The sequence below is a fragment of the Homo sapiens genome, chromosome 2 (assembly GCF_000001405.40).
Source record: "Homo sapiens chromosome 2, GRCh38.p14 Primary Assembly".
In the NCBI taxonomy this organism is placed as follows: domain Eukaryota; kingdom Metazoa; phylum Chordata; class Mammalia; order Primates; family Hominidae; genus Homo; species Homo sapiens.
In genome coordinates, this window is record NC_000002.12 from 207,114,372 (window position 1) to 207,133,079 (window position 18,708).

At 39.6% G+C, this 18,708-nt stretch overlaps 1 protein-coding gene across 16 annotated transcripts in view, besides 1 other annotated feature; it reads right to left on the minus strand.

Annotated features, from left to right (window-relative positions):
- The window catches only part of KLF7 (KLF transcription factor 7), a 99,715-nt gene that overhangs the window by 40,235 nt on the left and 40,772 nt on the right, over positions 1–18,708 (minus strand). For 13 of the 16 annotated variants that reach the window (XR_923051.3, XM_047446149.1, NM_001270943.2 and 10 more), the window contains one exon: positions 9,403–10,033. Coding sequence is in view for 14 of the 16 variants with exons in the window: in XM_047446149.1 (XP_047302105.1) it covers positions 9,403–10,033 (631 nt within the window). In the remaining 2 variants the exon portion in view is untranslated. The remainder of the gene's footprint in view (positions 1–9,402; positions 10,034–18,708) is intronic. The other 3 variants (NM_001270942.1, NM_001438026.1, NR_073108.2) reach the window with 2 other exon arrangements.
- Positions 12,334–12,628: a silencer, noted in NCBI's record as "tiled region #11101; K562 Repressive non-DNase unmatched - State 24:Quies". NCBI's record gives its function as "represses a minimal TATA promoter and a strong SV40 promoter by Sharpr-MPRA in K562 cells {active_cell/tissue: K562}" and the evidence as "EXISTENCE:reporter gene assay evidence [ECO:0000049][PMID:27701403]".

The window sequence follows — 18,708 nt, forward strand, 5'->3', positions numbered from 1 at the left end:
ATAGTAAGGGGATTCCAAACACCATGTGATAAGTTCATAACCAAGCAACGAATTCCATGAGATGACATTAAACTACATAAACACACGAAATGAAGACAGAAACCTTTTAAACAGGACTACTGCACAGTTATTCTAAAATATTTCCTACCATATCTTGGTGCTCTTCTACACTCAAATATGTACCAGAGTCAAGCTTTTTCTTGGTTCTATTCATTAAGACACAGATAGAATCCTGCATTTTTTAGGGCAACTGCTAGACTCCTAGAACCACTCTCATTTAACATTGGCTTCAATATTAGAGCAAACTATAGTCCTTATTACAAAACATCCCTGCTAGGAAAATAGCAAGGTCTCCAGAGAAAGATATTAGATACCCTAAGACACCTAACTAGGCAATACTCTACCATGGAGGTCAAGTTCTTTCTCAGCTAAGGATGGCTTCTGGTTTCCTGCCTGCAACAAAATGATTGATAGCTTTTATCATTTTTAGCTCATCTAGTGAAACAGATAAAACTATGCAGACCCAACAAAGTTGGGATTAAAACATCTTTTTACATTATTTGCCTGAAAACAATATGTACCACTTTACTGAATTCCATACATGTTATAGTAATGGAAACGGATACATTTTAAAGGCAGAAACAACAAAATAAGCCTAAGTATATGTTTTATAATACCAGATGAGTAGTTTAGAATATAAAAGGAGTTTTAATCTGTAAATGTATTTTATTTTGCAAACAAAATAAAAGGGGTCTTACATGAATGCAGATAACTTTTGAAGGGAAGAAAAAAAAAGATGTCAGTTGCAAAAAAAAAAAGGGGGGGTATGCCAAGGAAGTTTGGTTTAGGACAAAGCTGGACTGAGGCTCCATAAGGAACCAGCAATGGGGCATTCTGATCTTTCCTCCCCTACAAGATTATGGGGTCCAATCCCGGGTCAGTCCCCAGCTCACCTAGCTCCATAAACATACATGTTGAAGGAGAAGGTAGGGTGAACAGAAATATGGAACAAAGCATGCTAAGCTTATTCTCATTGCAGACATCCTTAAATAATTGAAGTGCTTTCACCTCCATTATTTCACCACCCATTGGTGACTGAACATGGGGACACTGCAGGAGTGAGAAGTAACTCCATCAGTGGTTGGCTGAATAACCAGCACATTAAAAAGTCACCAACTTTTAATTATTTTAAGTGATCTTGCCTCGACCAACATTTAGCTTAATAATGTCATGTCAATACATTAACAAATTGTTGAAAGGAAGCCACTTTTAGAAAATGTAGAAAATCCAGTAGCAGAGGAGGGGTAGATGGGATGGTGCTGGAGTAAAGTGGGGGAATGCCATCCCAGTTCCCAACACTCCCCCATCATGTCTCCCTACCTGTTTACAGACTACTGAAATTCTATTAAGTTTCCCCTAATTGAAGGTTAAAAAACTAATAATAGAAGATTAAAGTGTTATACACTGGTGGATGGACGTATAATCCACTGACCACAACAGTCTACAGTGTACCAACCACAACAGTCTACAGTGTATTGCTACCAGATCCTTTCTGCTGTGAAGGATAGAGGAAAGCTGCAGGGCAGAAAGTGACAGAGTACAGGAAGGGATCAGATATTAGGTACTTAGGTAGGGAATGCAGAAGAAAAAAACCCCATATTTTAGAAAACAAGTTTGGCCAGGGCTATCCAGTTTGCCTCCATCAGGGTGAAGACAAATAGAAACTGCCTGCCTGGAAAGGGTTAGGCGTTCTCCATTCGGTACCGGAGTCGTGCAGCAGAGCTTAGTGTCATCTGACACATTCTGCCCCTGGTGGACCAGATTCCCAAACAGCTGCATTTACTCATCAGAACTAATTTCCTTATATGAAGTTTGTTTCCTGAGGATCCGTTATCAAGGTTTCAACTGTAATTTCTACTACATTCAAGCTGAATATTTTTCAAAGAAAGACAGGTCACCTTACAATTATTTTTCATCTGTCCTTATATTTTAATTTTTTTAAAAAGAGGACCATTCAAAACCAATTTGTTTAAAAAAATTAACACGTGAGTTTCTTAAACTCCATTTCTTTCTAATTCAAACACAATCACTACATTATTATTTCAACTTCAGGAAACATAGAAAATCCCTGCCTACCATCAATTCTTATAACGTCATCTTAGCCTTCACTCTTTACAAAGCTCCACATAGCTTTCCTTGAACCTTCCTATATTATATGTACAGGATAACCATGATCATGACGGTAATTAACACTCATATTATAATAGAAACAGCCTCTGTACATTATCAATTTATTAAAAGGAACAGTTTTTCTAAAAGTTTACACTTGGCCTTCTCAATGTCATTTTTTCATTTACACAGACTTCTCATGACCCTCTTCTTTTCTTCTCTATCAAACAGAACTCGCCCACCCTTGAAACCTTTGAATTTATAAAATTCTATTACTTTCACTGCCTTTTCTGAAATGAGATTCCTCTTTTCTCTTCTCCTTCCTCCCAGTTCCCCCACATCCCCCATCCAAACTATATTCTGAGATCAAGTTCCAAATATAATGATTTTATGAAACCATATTTCAGGCTTTTGTGTCAAAAAGCGAGGTCCTCGGCAATAAAGAGGGACTAGTGTATGTACAGTGGGTGTTCGAAAATATTGTTTATGATGAAATACTCATTAATTTCATGCTTTTCTTTCTCCTCGATTCTTATTTTAACATACTTATTTGCTTTGTGACTATCAATTATCCATTAAAAGGACATCTGGAATAGGCGTCCCACAAAGCCTATATTTATTATCATAGTATAATGATAAAATAAATGTGCTTGCTGTGTATATGCTGAGTTTAGGCCATGCTTCCCAATATATGTTTACATTAATTTATCTTCATAAATGTTAGGAGTTATCATATTGCTAAATTACCATGTGGTAAAGTTTTAAGATTTTACTGAATCAGAAAATTCTCCCAGCGATTGTTTTTCACCACCTCATTTCATACCCTTTCTTTTCAAACTTCTCTTAAGCTCTTGAATATGCTAAATCCAAATTATCAAACCCTCCTATTCAGCTCTCTCCACCTTGTGAACTGAACATTTAACCCTTATTCTTGTTTCCATCCCATAATCGGGGTTTAATGAGTTTCTGCCTCAACACATGGATAAACTTCATTAGCAGCCATGTGTCTCGGCATATTAAAGGCCCTTTAATGTCTTAAAATCGCCCCATTTCAGTTGCTATTGTATAAATTCAAAGAATTCTTATCTATGGCACTAGCAGGTTGAAAGTGGTTGATGAACCCCCTACAGTTCCACACTGAGGTATTAAATTTTATCCTGCTGATATGCCTGACCTTGAATTAGGGCTTCTATTTATATAAATTACTATACTATCACATTGACATCATTTAAAAAGATGAACAGCATCAATAAACACTCTGTCCAGAAGGAGAGAAGCGACTTGTTATCTCCAAATCTTCCATGCTGCCTCTGACTGCTGCTGCAAGCCCCTGCTTTCATTTACTGCCCCATCACCACCCTTCAGCACTCCTTCCCAAATGGACCACCCTGTTCTCCTTTGCTGGTCACTCCATGGTACAGTGCCTGACATCTATGGGCACTTAATACCTGTTCGCAGAAAGACTGAAGAACACATACAGTAAATAAGAAGCAAAACAATCTACTGAGTAGGATGTAAGCCTATAGGTCAGGAGACATGGGTCCAATTTAATTTCTAACAACAGGGACTTGCATAGCCTGAACCAAGTTACTTTTTTGTTGTTGTGGTTCCTCAGTTTCTCCCATGTTGTGATAATACTGACCTTTCTTATTTGATAGGGACAGAATATTAACATTTGTCATTTTAATGCGTGAACTGAGACTGGCATGTCTCTCTTTAACACTAACATTAAAAAAAGTGAAAATAGTAACAACCATAAAATAGTAGCTTTATCAGTAACGATAATAGGCCTGGAAATGGAAGACCATTTCTTTGTAATTTCCTTGTACTGCTTCTCAGTCACCTGATGAGGCAATATGTTTAAGGACCCTCCTAATTCTCACCTATTTAGAGAGGATATTTAGTTTTCATCGTCCATTTGCATTTAAACTATACGTCTTTAATTTCCTCTTAATAACAGGTTACTTTTAAAAAATTCATTTGACTTGTTTCCCCTTTATTAGTAAGCTTGGAAGTTAAGAGAGCTCCCACTGGAGCAATACTGTTTGGTGCAAATCCTTGCCCAACCATCTATGATGAGCTGTGTGACGCCAGGCAAATTACTTGACTTCTCTGGGTCTCATTTTCCTCATCTATAAAATAAGATGGTACCTATGTCATTGGGTTAGTATAAGGATTAAAAGGGTTAATATTTGTAAAACATTTAGAACAATGTCTGGGACATAGCAAGTGCTTTATATGTATTTGTTGAATAAGTAAAATAAACTGTATTTCAAACTTTAAAGGCCTTTCATTACATGTGTGACATAACACTTCTGTTTGCCTTTTGAATGCTACACTGGTCTTTTTGTTTGTAGTATTTTTAGCCACCTTTTCATTTGAAAATAAACTATTTCCCTAAATTCTGATTAAACTTACAGATTGTGCCACTTTCTGATTCAATAAGATGGGCCCCAAAGAAAATGTAAAATGCTAAGCAAATTGCACACTTGTATTACTTTTCCACCTGAAACGTATCCTGTTATATTGTTCGGGACAAAATCTAGAGAATGCTTATCACCACCCATGGTTTAGGTGACAGCAACTTCAGTCTATAGAGAGAGTCCTCCAAGCAGCACGTTCAGAGAACATGGCTTCTTCACATCTCCCTTCACTGCAAACAAGAATCAAAGATCTAATGACAGGCCATTGTCCTGACTTCACCAATATGACTCACTCATAATAACATAAATGTGGACGTACCTTTATATGGATTTTCAAATTTGAAAAGTCTGTTTACTTAGCACAAAGCACCATTTCAATGAAAGGTTTTTTATCTCTTCTCAGAAGTAATTAAGAAGAAATGTAGAAAATCCTTCTTTTTTTACATAGAAACTATTAAGATTTTTAAAAATTGATTTTTGCTGAGAATGAGCATAGTTTTTTTTTTAATATTGGAAGTGAAGGTTACTTTTCATCAAAATATAAGGATTATTTAGCTGACTCAAGAAGATGAATACAACTATGATCATAATGGTAGAATTTGTGAGAAAGAAAAATATATGAAGACCAGAACACAGAGTAGGAGAGAAAGGTCTGCAATGACTTGGCTGCTAAGAACATTTTTACACTCATGCCAACACTAGGTGCTCTTCCCAATGAATAAACCATATGTCCATTTTTTTTAATTTTTATTGTTTTTGAGACGGTGTCTCACTCTGTCACCCAGGCTGGAGTGCAGTGACGCAATCTCGGCGCACTGCAACCTCCGCCTCCTGGGGTCAAGCGATTCTCCTGCCTCAGCCTCCTGAGTAGCTGGGACTACAGGCACGCGCCACACGCCCAGCTAATTTTTGTACTTTTAGTAGAGACGGGTGTTGGTCAGGCTGGTCTCGAACTCCTGACCTCAGGTGATCCACCTGCCTAGGCCTCCCAAAGTGCTAGGATTAGGGGCGTGAGCCACCGCACCTGGCCCTTATGTCCATTTTTATATGCTTCCTTTCACTAAATCCTGCTACTTCATAATATTCCCTTTGTCCCATTCCTCGCCTCGTTATCCTGCACCTCCAGCTCAGTACCCCCATCTCTAACTTTACTTCCTTGGGCAACCTGCGTTTGTGCCCTAGCTACCAATGTGAACATCTGCTACCTTAAAAAATAATAAATAAAAAATCACCTCATTGCCTAATATCCTCCAGGGCAAAAATTTTGAAGGATTCAGCATCCTCAAAAAACAGCCACAGAAGGAAAAAAATGCATATCTTTTTCAGCTCAGTAAATTCTGTCTATATAAAGATTAAATGAATAACACCTTAAAAATTCTTCAATGCAAGCAAATCCATGTTACCAACATGTATTGTCTTCCTTTATGCATATGAGAGGAAGACACACACATTTTATTTTACTTCATTTCTTCACTGTATCTCCTTTGCAATGTATTACCATATAGAAGAGATACAGCATATATCTGCAACTCTAGAGAACAAAATGCAAATACTTCTCTTCTTTCTCTGGGATGGTATTCTTATCTCCCTTTTTTTCCTGTCCCAAAACACCTCCCCAACTGGAAGATAAGAAATATTTTGACTGAATTAAAGTGAGTCCTGGGTTAAAATAGCTTGCCTGAATCCAACCAGCGCCCATTTTTAAAAAATCTTCATTTCCACATTTGGTCAGCAGCTCTCCCAACTCCAGTCCTTGTATCAGCAGCCTCTTTCCAACCTGAATTCCCATCTCCATACACCTTTGCCCTCGAGCTTTTACCAGTCCATTTCCTTTATATGTTTGCACTTAATTTGATTCCATCCTTCATGCTGTTTTCATTATTCTTAGTTCATCTACACCACATAAATTATCACCTTTGTTTTCAGTTCCCCATGTGCTCCAATTCACACCAATTCCAAATAAATACTTCTGATTCTCATCCATTTAATCCAAATTAATTCATATTCTCCCCACCCTCCATCCCTGTCTCTACCTCCCCTTTTATCTGTTTCTCTTTCTTGTAGCACCTACTTTCCGTGCATGTCTCTGAGGAAGGTTTTACAGGCAAAATGCTTCTGTGGATGCAAGGTAACTGCTTTCTATGTTGTGGGAGGAAAGCCATGATCTTTCTGCCTTATTGCCAACTTCTATGGGCTAATGCTTGCATGTCTGGTTTATCCTCCACAACTTGTATCCACAGGTGTCATCACCCCACATCCCATTGATCAACCACTGGGAGCGAGAGGGAAAAAGCTTCTTGCTGTTTTGTGGTAGTTAACTTTGGCTAACTGGCTTGTTTCTGGTTTACAAAGCTGTTTTATCACTCAGTCATCACTAATATCAACAACAACAGTAATAGCTACAATCAACCCCACTACTATCGGTAATGAGTTCTTACTATCTATCAGGTATTTGTTTTATCTTTTTTACAAGTATTTTACAAGTATCTGCTCATTTAATATTCAAAACAATCTAGGAGGTAGACACAATTGTCTCTACTTTAGAAATGAGGAAACTGAGGTCATAAATCTAGGAAGCGACAGTGCGAGGACATAAACCCAAGTCCACCCGATCACAAGGCTCAGCTCTTAAGTGCTCTGCGATACTGCTTTTCTAACAATGCCTGGTGCCTCCCTGAGTGAATTCCCAATAGGAGTCTTTCCACTTTAGTCCAACATGAGGCAAGTAGTTGCAGGTGCCAGGTAACATAATGAGCTCCACCTTGGTAATCACTCTGAGTAGACAATGCTCAAAAAAACAGAGCACCACATAATGTATCAACCCTAACAGTCACCCTTCTGACATCTCTATTGGAAAGAGGGGATAAGAAAGAAGAAAAAAATGCTCTGGACTCCCTAAAAAGAATCTCTGCTTTCCCAGAGCTGTCCAGCCTCCATGCTAAGCAGGATGTGCCCTTAGTGCCAATAATTCAGAAAGTGTCCATAATCATGAACTCCACAGCCCAAAGACAACACAACATTCTTGCCCTTTTCTGCCTTCTCCGGTTTCCTGGAGGGGCCAGGAGATGAGTCATGCACTCCAGCCTGGGAGCACTGCAATGTCTTTCCAATGTCTTGCCATAACTTTACTCATTGACTTTAGAAAGAAAGAAGTATCAATAAAAACTACCTTCAGAACAATATCAAAGAAGCAAAAACTGACAATAGCATGAATCATTAGCCTTGGTGTGTGTATGTGGAGTGGTGAACTGGAACCCAAATTCTGATGGGAAACCATGAGTGGGTCTCTATGCCTGAGCCACGGGATATAAACATTATGTTAGGAGACCGTCCCATGAACCAAGCAAGAGCCACACAGGAAATTAAGTTCAGAATTAGAGCAGTACAGGCCCAAGTCCTGGTGTGCAAGGAAGCAATGTCAGTCTTCATCCTCCCATGGGAATAACTCTAAGGTTCATAACAGTGATTTCCTCTGTCATATATTATATATTCGAACTTCAGGAAAGTTCTTCTCTACTACACAAAAACAGTTCATGGACCTCCAGAACACTAGAATTGAAAGGGGCCCTAAGAGCCAGATTGTTCAACAGATGTGGAAAATGAGGCCTGGTGAGGTAAAGGAACAGGCTCAAGGTCACAGAGCTGGATAGTGGCAGAGTTAGAACTAAAGCCCAGGTTGTTCTGATTTTCCAGCCAGCAATCTCTCCCCTGCACACTTCTTTGGAGGCACAGCCCAGAAGGCCCCCCAGAGCACCAAACACTTTTCCTAGCTCATATGCTATCACTGATTTCTCTCCAAGAATGCTTTTATACTTCCACTTACACCTTTGGGGATTTTCCCTATTCAGCTCGCAGTGTGCAAACAGTATGCAAAAACCATACAGGTAGCACACTGTTGGAGACTCACTTAAAAACCACCAATCACAGTAATTGCTACTAGCATCCTAGTAGCCCAGGAAGAGACACCACCCCTAAGCTCCAATCTCAAAGCAGAGAACAAAGACCAGTTCCAAGAAAAATAAGAGTTTCACGCTTTTCTGTGTAAACCCCACTTTTCCAAATTATCCCATTGCTCAAAAGATCAGTATGACTGGAACTTAGGGATGGTGTCTCTTCCTGGGCTACTAGGATGCCCTGAGTAAAATACACAATCCCCATCCCTCCCCCACCCGCTCTTGCCACACACATAGCAATGTAATCACTTTAGCAACTTCTCAGTAACAAGCTCATTAAAAAGCAATTCTGCCATCTCTCCATAAAGCACGCGCCAGAGAACAATGCAAAAGAGGAGATGCCAATTAATTATAGAATGATCACATCTAATGAACTCTGAAACCCTCCTGCTGTTGGTGACTTTGATGAAAAATCAGGATGCTGGGAAAAGAGTGAATAGGGACACCCTAGCTACCTTGTTTAACTGTGAATGCTTTCAAATGCATCCTCAGCTCCCAGTGTTGATCAAAACTGTGGAGCTACACTCATAAAACAATGCAAAGTGTCAGGAAAGCGACAAGTGTCTGTGTCACAAACAGCTATGAGTCACTGCCAGGGCCCCCTTCAGCCATCCTCAGAATTGTATGATTCTATGCTGTGGTTGGCACTGTAGGGACAAACCCGTCTGTGCTTGGGACATCTTGAGATCTTAAGGTAACAAGTGAGTCATTCTTTGTCCCTACCTGGGGCCTCCCGCCTGTCTATCACCTCCTCATCAGCAGGGGTGCCACTCCTCAGAACAAAGAGGAGCCCTCCCACATGACGAGGCTACAGGAGGGGAAAGAAGAAACCACGTGCGGCCAACTTGTACCACTACCTGTGTGAGTCCTCTGGTGGGCCTTTAAGTGGGAGCTTTTTGTATAAACTTTCCGGCACCCGTTAAACTGACAGCGGTGAACCCTCTTCTTGTTTTCGGGACATGCTTCAGCCCCCAGCCCTCCTTGGTCACTGTCGCTCTGTCCACTCTTAACGGCCCCCGCAGCCGTCACGGCTGCTGCAGCTGTTGCGACCCCTCCCACCTTTACGGAGCTGAGAGCAGCCTTCTTGGCCACCAGTTTCAACGTCACCGTGCCATCCACGGCAGAGAGAGTTTGTGAGGTTTTGACCAGATGGCGGCTGAGCTCAGGGGACGATGGGGGCGTTAATGAGGTCACTGCGTTGAGCTGGGCCTGGTTGACGGCTGTGTAGCTGTCTAGAGAAGAGCTGGCCGGCTGGAGGCTGAGGCAGGTCTCAGATAGCAACTTGTCCCGAGAGAGCAAGATGTCCACTGCCGAGCTCTTCTCACAGATGGCCGCTTCCACGGGGAGCAGCAGGGGGTCTAAGCGACGGAAGCTTTCCTCAATGCACGGGGGAGGGGAAGCGTGGAGGAAACAGTCCAAGTCCTCACCAAAGGTCTCTGAGATCCTCCGGGGCTCCGTCTGTAGGTAGCGTTCCAATTCAAGGCATGTCTGCAAGAGGAAGAAGGAGGGAGAGAAACAGCCATCAGAGGCACAGAACACCATGAGGCCACACGTTGACAGGCAGAGGGGGAAGGTGCAGAGAGAATGGTGTCATGGCTTGTATCAGAAATGCCTTAGTAGAAGGTCTGACCTTGTTATTTATTCTCTGAATACCTCTGAAAGGTTCATAAGGGTCACATCAGATGATTTCAATTACTCTAGCTGAAGGAGAACAAGAGCCCCAGAAGGACTATCTCATACCTTCGAGATTCCAGAGAACATCAAATGATGATCTCTTGCCCCTCAATCCAATTCAGCAGGTAAGATGCTCCAATTTCCCCTCTAGAAATTATCATGCAAGCAAGAAGCAAATAGAAACAGATAAGGTTTTCATACTAAGACAAGACTTCCCAGAGTCCAACTTCATTATTCAAAACAGACTTGAGCACATCACACAAGTAAGTCAGTTTTCCCACTTGCTCTGAAGAACAAGCCATGTTCACTCAAACTAAGAGGTGACCTCAGTAACAATCAAACAACAGCAAGCCCTGCCTTGGGGATGGATTCCATAACCAGCAGGAAAGAATACTGTTCTAAAGAATGTCTACCATAAAACTTTTGAGGCACAAGACAAAACCCTTGTTGTTTATAGCAAGTCATTTAAAATACAATGCTATATTACTTTGTGGCAAGGGGCATAAATCCCATTTCAATGGTTTAGCATCTCTGACTACATGATAAAAATAAATTCAAACATAGCTATTTAGACCACTTAAAGATAGGACCCAATATATTTCAACATAAAATTTTCACCCGATAAAGAAACAGGGGAGAAGAACAAAAAAGTTTAGTTTCAACAAATCTTCATCCATGGCACTCATAAGTTTTTGTAAGATGGGGGAGTGCTTTTATGGCAAAAGTCGATATTTAAGAAGTTTGTTCTAAAGCCCTCCTCACTCAAAAATCCTACAATTCCAGAATCTTGTATAAAACTATGTTGCTAACTTGCACTATCAGCTCAATTTGCTCTATCTTCTGGATTCAACAAAGACCCACTGATGGCAAATTTAAAATGTGACTAGTTCCAAATTTACTGCCCCCGTAAAGCTCCTATGTTTTCAACTGATGTTCTGATTCTAGGCATTTATTCTGTTAAGAATATATTTTAATGATATACCTAGTAGTGTTGTATCTGTCAAGGATTTTATTTTGGTGACATTTCAAAAGACTGGTTTTTAATCACACTTCTGGTAAAACTCTGCATTACTGAATAAGAAAATCAGATTTTTAACTATGAATCAGCTTTGGGTCTCACTGTTGATTTTCAATGGTAAGAACTAATGAATGGTTCCAGTCTTCATTCAACACTCATGTCACAAGTGTTCATGCAACTACTGTGCTCACAGCAAGGTACAAGGCTTTGTATGTGGTAGATGGAGAAGATATAGCAGTAGGTCCACATGATGCAGGTATAGAATAAACAACCACAAGCTAAAAATTACATAAACTCACATAGAAATGTGATACCAAAAAATAGTATAAAATGTGTTGATAAGTTCTTAGGGGCTGAGTGGACACCTAATTCTATACTCTATTAATGTAGTATTAATCAAGGAAAGCTTAGTGAAAAAGTAAGTTTTGATTCTGTTTTACTTATTGATTAAATAATAGCTCTGACTCAGTAGCTTCCCACTACTCTACATTAGAAACCAGTATGATGACCTTCTCAGGTCTAGAAATATGAATTATCCTCACTTGCTTCTTTTCTGAACTCCACTTCTCAAAAATTTCCCCTTCCTTATTCCATCTCATTGCTAGAAATTATCACTTACATCTCTCCAATATTGAAGCCCTCAGTCTTGGCTCCATTCAATTGATTTCTGAATTATAAGATTCTACTCCTGAAACCTCCCTTAAATTTCTTCTTCCCTTTCTGAATCATCACCTACCAAGCACAGTGCCTGGCACCTAACAGGTACATAATGTCTGTCAAAGACAAAGCCCACTTTATACTATTACTTTGATCATTCTACCTCTTCTACTCTTCAATAGCCATCTTTGAAACCCTACCCTGTACCATGCTGAGGGGGCAATTTTGGAAATGACCACTAATACATATCTCTGGGAATACAATTGCAATGCTTCTTGAGCTTTGCCCAAAGAGCAGTACCAGATCTTTGAGACACAGATATGTTTTAGGTAAAAATCAGTATGCCTGGGCAACACAAGACCCTGTCTCCACAAAAACTAAAAGAAAATTTGCCGGGCGCAGTGGCTTGTGCCTGTTATCCCAGCTACTCTGATGGCTGAGGCGGGAGAATCACTTAAGCCCGGGAGTTCAAGGTTGCAGTGAGCTATGGTCGTACCACTGCACTCCAGCCCTCTGGGCAAGACAGCGAGACCCTGTTTCTACCAAAAAAAAAAAAAAAAATCAGCTGACTCATGGGGTATCAGATGTCCTTGAGGTAGTTCTCTGCCTCCTCTACAATGACTTTCACATACTCAATCATCACTGCCTGTGAATAGAGTTTTTGTATGCCATTTATTTACATACTATCCAGCCCAAAGACTGAAAAGTCACTAAGATATTGTGATTATTAGAAGGCTCAGATCTCTTCATATTCAGAAGAGATCTGAATGCAGGGCTGAGATATTCTAAATACATTTACACACTCTTCTGGGAGGATTAAGTAACTTATGCAGTATGCCCTGGTGTGAACTGCAGGAGCACATGAGTCATATTTATGATCTAAAGATGAGAGACATCTGATCACTAAAATGTGGAAAAATCTGGACCATTTCAGAGTGGCTATAATTTGCAATCCTAATACAGGGCATTTTTACTCCTCCTGAAAATTGAAGAAGCATAAGTACCCATCGGGATGTGCTGGGACAGTCCTGTCAAATCATTATGAAATGATTGCTGTCTTAGGAAATACACTTCTTATATCTGCTGGAGATGAAGTTAAGGTAGAGGAGAAGATTTTGTCAATTCGAAACCCCAGTGAGGGGGTTAAAGACTTTTCTCATCAGGAGTATGGAGATTAAAATGTTAAGGATGAGGAGGATTCTAATATTAGATTATTTCCAAGCCAATGAGAACATTTACTTCCAACATTGTTTGTAAATGATTATGAGAACTCTCATAAGAAATGTCCATGACAGGCCGGGTGCAGTGGCTCATGCCTGTAATCCTAACACTTTGGGAGGTTGAGGCAGATGGATCAATTGAGGTCAGGAGTTTGAAACCAGCCTGGCCAATATGATGAAACCCCATCTCTACTAAAAATACAAAAAATTAGCCAGGTGTGGTGGTGCGCACCTGTAATCCCAGCTACTCGGGAGGCTGAGGCAGAAGAATCACTTGAACCCAGGAGGTGGAGGTTGCAGTGAGCCAAGATTGCACCACTGCACTCCAGCCTGGGTGACAGAGCAAGATTCTGTGTCAAAAAAAAAAATCCCTATGATGTTTGATGGGAACTGAGGTATTAGTATTTCCTCATGGATTTTAATATACACACACATACATACATAGAGAAATAAATGTGTATATCCATGTGTGAGTATACATACATATATTTCCTAACTCCATCCACTGAAAGAAGCTACAGGCAAAGATAACCCCAGGAGCAATGAGCACACTTAGCCCAGGGATCTTGGTTTCTAAATATCATTATCCAATAAAGGGAACCAGGACTCCCTAGAGAAATAGTTGTTGGAAGGGCTGGAACAATGAAAATAAAAGTTGAGCCTAGAATATCATTGTGGTACCAAAAGATAAGGAAGTGCTCATAAAGTGATGAAGTCATGTCAGAAAGACTCAGAAGCCAACTTAAAGGAGCTGTCAATGGCCAAATGAATAATAATAGGTTATAATTCATAAAATAAATATCCCTGAATCCATACTGATATAAATAAATGACTGAATAAATTAAAAGATGGAAGGAAAGGGTCAGCTCCTCATTACAGTAAAATTATGATTCAAAAACACAGAAGGAATGATGGAAATAGAAAATCACCATAGGCAAACAGCAAAGTAATAATGATTACAAGTTAAGAATTACCAATGGATGCTAAAACTAGTAGAAAGATCTATGATGAGAAACAAGGTATCTGCCTAGTTTCAAAGTATCCACCGAACAAAATATTTATTTGTTAATTATGAAGATAAAATATAATAACTCTACAGTGGAGAAACCTGGAAGAAACCACCTTAGCCATATGATCAAAATTAGCAGCACAAGGAACAAGTAATATTGATCACATGTACCCCTGATATGATAAGCTGACAAGGATACAATATTATTCTATGATATTTCTGTCAAAATGGTTAACCTCAATCTAATCATGAGAAAACAGACAAATTTAAATTGAGGACTATTCTACAAAGCAAATAGCCAGTTATTCTTTAAGTGCTGGGTCACAAAGAACAAAGAAAGACTGAGAAGTTGTCACAGACTGGAGAAGAATAAGGAGATATGGCAACTAAATGCAATGGATCCTGGCCTGGGTCCTGAACCAGTAAAAGGACTGGTGGAAAAAAATAATGTAATTCAAAGGAAGTGTTTAGATTAGTTAATGGTATTATATCAATGATAATTTCCTGGTTCTTATAATTGAACTATGGTTGCGTAACATTAGGGGAAGCTGGACAAACAATATTTGGTAACTCTATGTATGGTTTTTGCAACATTTCTGTAAGTCTAAACTAACTTCAAAAAACAGGGAGAGACGAAGACCATCAGCAGGCTAAAAGTGTCCCTAAACTGTAAATTTGGATAGAGAGTTCAAATGTTTTTCCACTAGAACCAGAGATTTTCTCTGTTCAAATGATACTCTTGCCAGCAAACTCCAAATCGGAGTCAGCGAATGTCAGTTTAATGACACAAATTATGCCTGTCTGGCACTCACCTCGGAGGTACAAGGCTTCCCTCAGCCTGACCTAACCATACAACTTAAGGCTTGAGCCACTGGATCAACCCCCAACCCCTAAAAAATTCATTACAGTCAGCAATGGGAAGAAAATATTCCCGAGTGCAAAGTGATTTTCCTCTATATTGATGAGTCACAGATGAGCTTTGTGAAGATTCTCTTGATATCTCAACTTTGAAATGCATGGCTTCTCCTAGCTTCCTAATAAATATCACCTGAAATTCATATTGAACTGCTCATCTTGAAACCTTTTTTAATACTCTCTTCATGCTTTTCATAGCATTCTCACTTGTTGCAACACACTTATTAAAAGTAATAATCCAAGACCTAGTTAAAAAATAATAGACTTTAAACCTATTACTGCCTACTACATCTATGATAATTTTCCTACAAGGAGGACCTGACTTTTCCTCTCCATGTTTATTTATTCAATCATTTGTTTGTATCAGTATGAATTCATTTTTATTTTATCCTATGGATTGTAATCCACTATTATCATTATTCATTTTTTGTTGCTCAGAGGCAGAATTTTCCAGAGACAGAAGTTGAAAGAAAACAGGATAATTCAAGTTTTGTGGCACATATTAAGTTTATCAAAAGCTCTCTGCTGCTGACAAGAGGTAGTTACTTTCACAGCCTTGAGAACAATATAAGACATTTGGTTATATATGGGCATGGTGCCAAGGTTACCAAATGGCTTCTGTTTAACCTGTCTTTATCTCATCACCAATTACGTGGAACTTGCCAGTCAGGATTGCACACATCTCCTGTCACATTGACTATTTCCCCTACGACCCTTACCTAAAGGGTTTCTTTCCTTCACCTATTTTTCTTGTCCTTACTTTCCCATGCCCATATGCTCGAAACAATCTTCCTTTCGCCTTCCCTCCCACTCATCATTCTTTCATTCAAAGTTCAACATAAAGTCTATCCCCTTCAGGGAGCCCAACCTAGAAAAAGATGGAGTCAAGAAAATACGCTGACTGTCAAGTGTTGAAAGACACTCCTCTTCAACCCTGGACAATTAAACGGTATTTCCAAAATGAATCTTAGAGTCCACAGATTGGTGGGATGTCTGGTTTATTAAGATCATGATTTTAAAAGCAATGATATTTCTTATACCATACGTTCCTAAACAGTAAAGTTAAGTGATTAGAGCTAAACCTGTACCTCTGTTTTCTCATATGGCAGATATGTCTAAGTGTTTGAAGTGATGGAGAGTTGGAAGAGCTAGAACTTTCTGAAAAAATGAGCTAGAATCGTCTCACAACTCCCATCCATTGCAACCACTATAACTACAACCATGTTTAGTTGGGGCAGACTGTAGTCCAGCCTCTTCAATACCATCACTTTTCAAACAAATCACCTGGAACATAAAAGGTTCAGTTTTTATTTCTGTGTCTTTTAATTTGAACATAAGACAAAACCATTGGTGCAATATTTTTGCTACTACCCAATAACTATGCCACTTTGGGTAATTATTGGGAGTCTCTGGATCCATGTATACTCAAGTTAGTAAGTAAAAAAACAAATTTAAAGAAATAAAGAAATTGCAATTTTCTAATGACTTTTTCTGGTACAGAGTCAACGAAATAAAAGGCCACCAACTACACTCAATGTTTCTAATCAATTTTCAGTCATTTGTGGTCCTTTAGCCAGCTGCCCTTAATCTCAGTCATTCCACCTATCTCGCCTAAAAGGGCCAAGAGTTAAAAGTACAAAGAGATTAAACAAATTGGGGACAGAATGTAGATATAAAAGCATGGGAAAGTGCAGCTTTCCACCATGTGGAAACTTGCAAAGTCATGCTTCCTCTGAGATCAGATCTGGATCTGAAGGATGATGATGATGGTGGTGAGAAGGATGATGCTTCTGGCGAGGAAGGGACAGACTTTGGTTCCCAGAAAGAATGTTCACCTAAGTAATTGCACAAGCAGGTAAACTGCACTTGGCTGCCCATGGGAGCCCTTTCTGACATTTATTGTGTGGTTTTTGTCACATGCTATTAACCATGGTGTCACAGTCCCCAAAGAGTTTCAAGTAAAGAAAGAGAGAAACAAACCCCTTGCCTTTCTCCTGGGAGGGTCCCAAAGTTTAATTAGCTTTTTTGTGCTTTGAAATCTTCAAACATCCCAGAATGGAAATTCAGAGTGACACAAAACAAGCTACTGTTAGGAGGGAAATGTGTGGCCTTCTTTCTTCAAGCCACCCTCTAAAATACTCATTCTTTTCTAACTTACTAGACGTGTTTACATATCACTTTTTAGCAAAAAAGGCAGATTCTCTGACTCCAGAAACCAACTTGAAAATCTGGATTGCAAAGACTGATACTGATGGGAACTTTGTGACTCTCTTTCTCTTCAAAGAATAATATGATGTAATGATTCTGACACATTCCTAGGCTTTCAAAATTAAGTCAGAATTGAAAGACAGGAAAAGATGTGGGAAGCATGGCCAGGGAGATCTGGTACATTTTTGACAGGAGTTGGAGGAGGAGGAAAAAGATGTACTATGCTTAATAAACTCAGGAAGTCCATGAGACAATCTCAGATGCCAAGCATCTGAACCTTGTTGCCTGCCTTCCTGGGTTTCAACATTATAAATAGGCTTGAGGAAGAAGACGGTAACACTGAATCTACCTCGTGGCAGAAAGGATGCATGAACCAGTGCAAGCATCCACCTTGGGAGACCTAGAGAGTGATTCCTAACAAGATATTAAGCATATGTTCACTTTTTCTTGCCTTTCATGACCAGGAAATATTAGGAGAGAAAGAATTTCATCTAGAAAATGTGGATAATCAAGTAGACAGTATGAGTGAAAATCTTACTGCATTTTTTTTAAGCTATTAGGTTAAAAGAAAACCCACAACAATAGCACACCCCAGAGGTACAATAGCATTACACATTACTGTCAGGATTGCTGAACTCCATGAAATAACCAGGGGACTACAACAAATGTTAAGACTGCATTGCTTTCCACTGTTTCTCACATCTACTGGTTGCTAGAGCTGAAACCAAGTTATATATTTCCCTCTGGTAATTTGTAAATTTTGAGAGACAATGCTGTGAAAACTAATTTAAATCTAAACAAACATGAAAGCTGAAAAATTTCTATCAAAACCTCTTCCATGTTTCTCTTCTCCTATTTTCAACAAACAAAGAAAATATTTGTTTGCATATGTTTCCTTGGGGAGGTGGGTGGTGAGGATGTTGGAGGGGGAGAAAGGAGACAAGATTAAAGGCCTGGGGAGAGGGTGATGTCTTTGAAATTACTTTCCCCAGGCACATGATGCAAAGCAGCCTCAAATACCCCTTTCATCTTCCAAGGATTCCTTAGTTGCAGTGCATAAAAGAAATTCCCAAAACAACTCAAATCTAAATTAACCATCAAAGTGAGCTTTAAAGTCACATAACCTGGGCAGAGCTGGTAGCTATGGCCCAGGCCTCACACCGCTTGAAGGAAGGCACTGGGTTCCCCTACACTTCCAACAACTTGGAAATGCATTTTCCTCATTCATTATGTCTGTGATCCTCAAAATTCAATGCGACCATTAGGGACATGATGGCCCATGCACAGAGAGGCTTCTCTAACTTGGTTTAGAGTTGTTTTTCCAGATGTTACTCTGCAGGACATACTGACTGGGAGTCTGTTGGCCTGGCCTCTACCCACAGTTGCAGAGAGCCCTTAAGAAGAATTGCTCACTATTACTTGGCCACTGGACTATAACTAAATTACAGCTTCTGAATAGTCA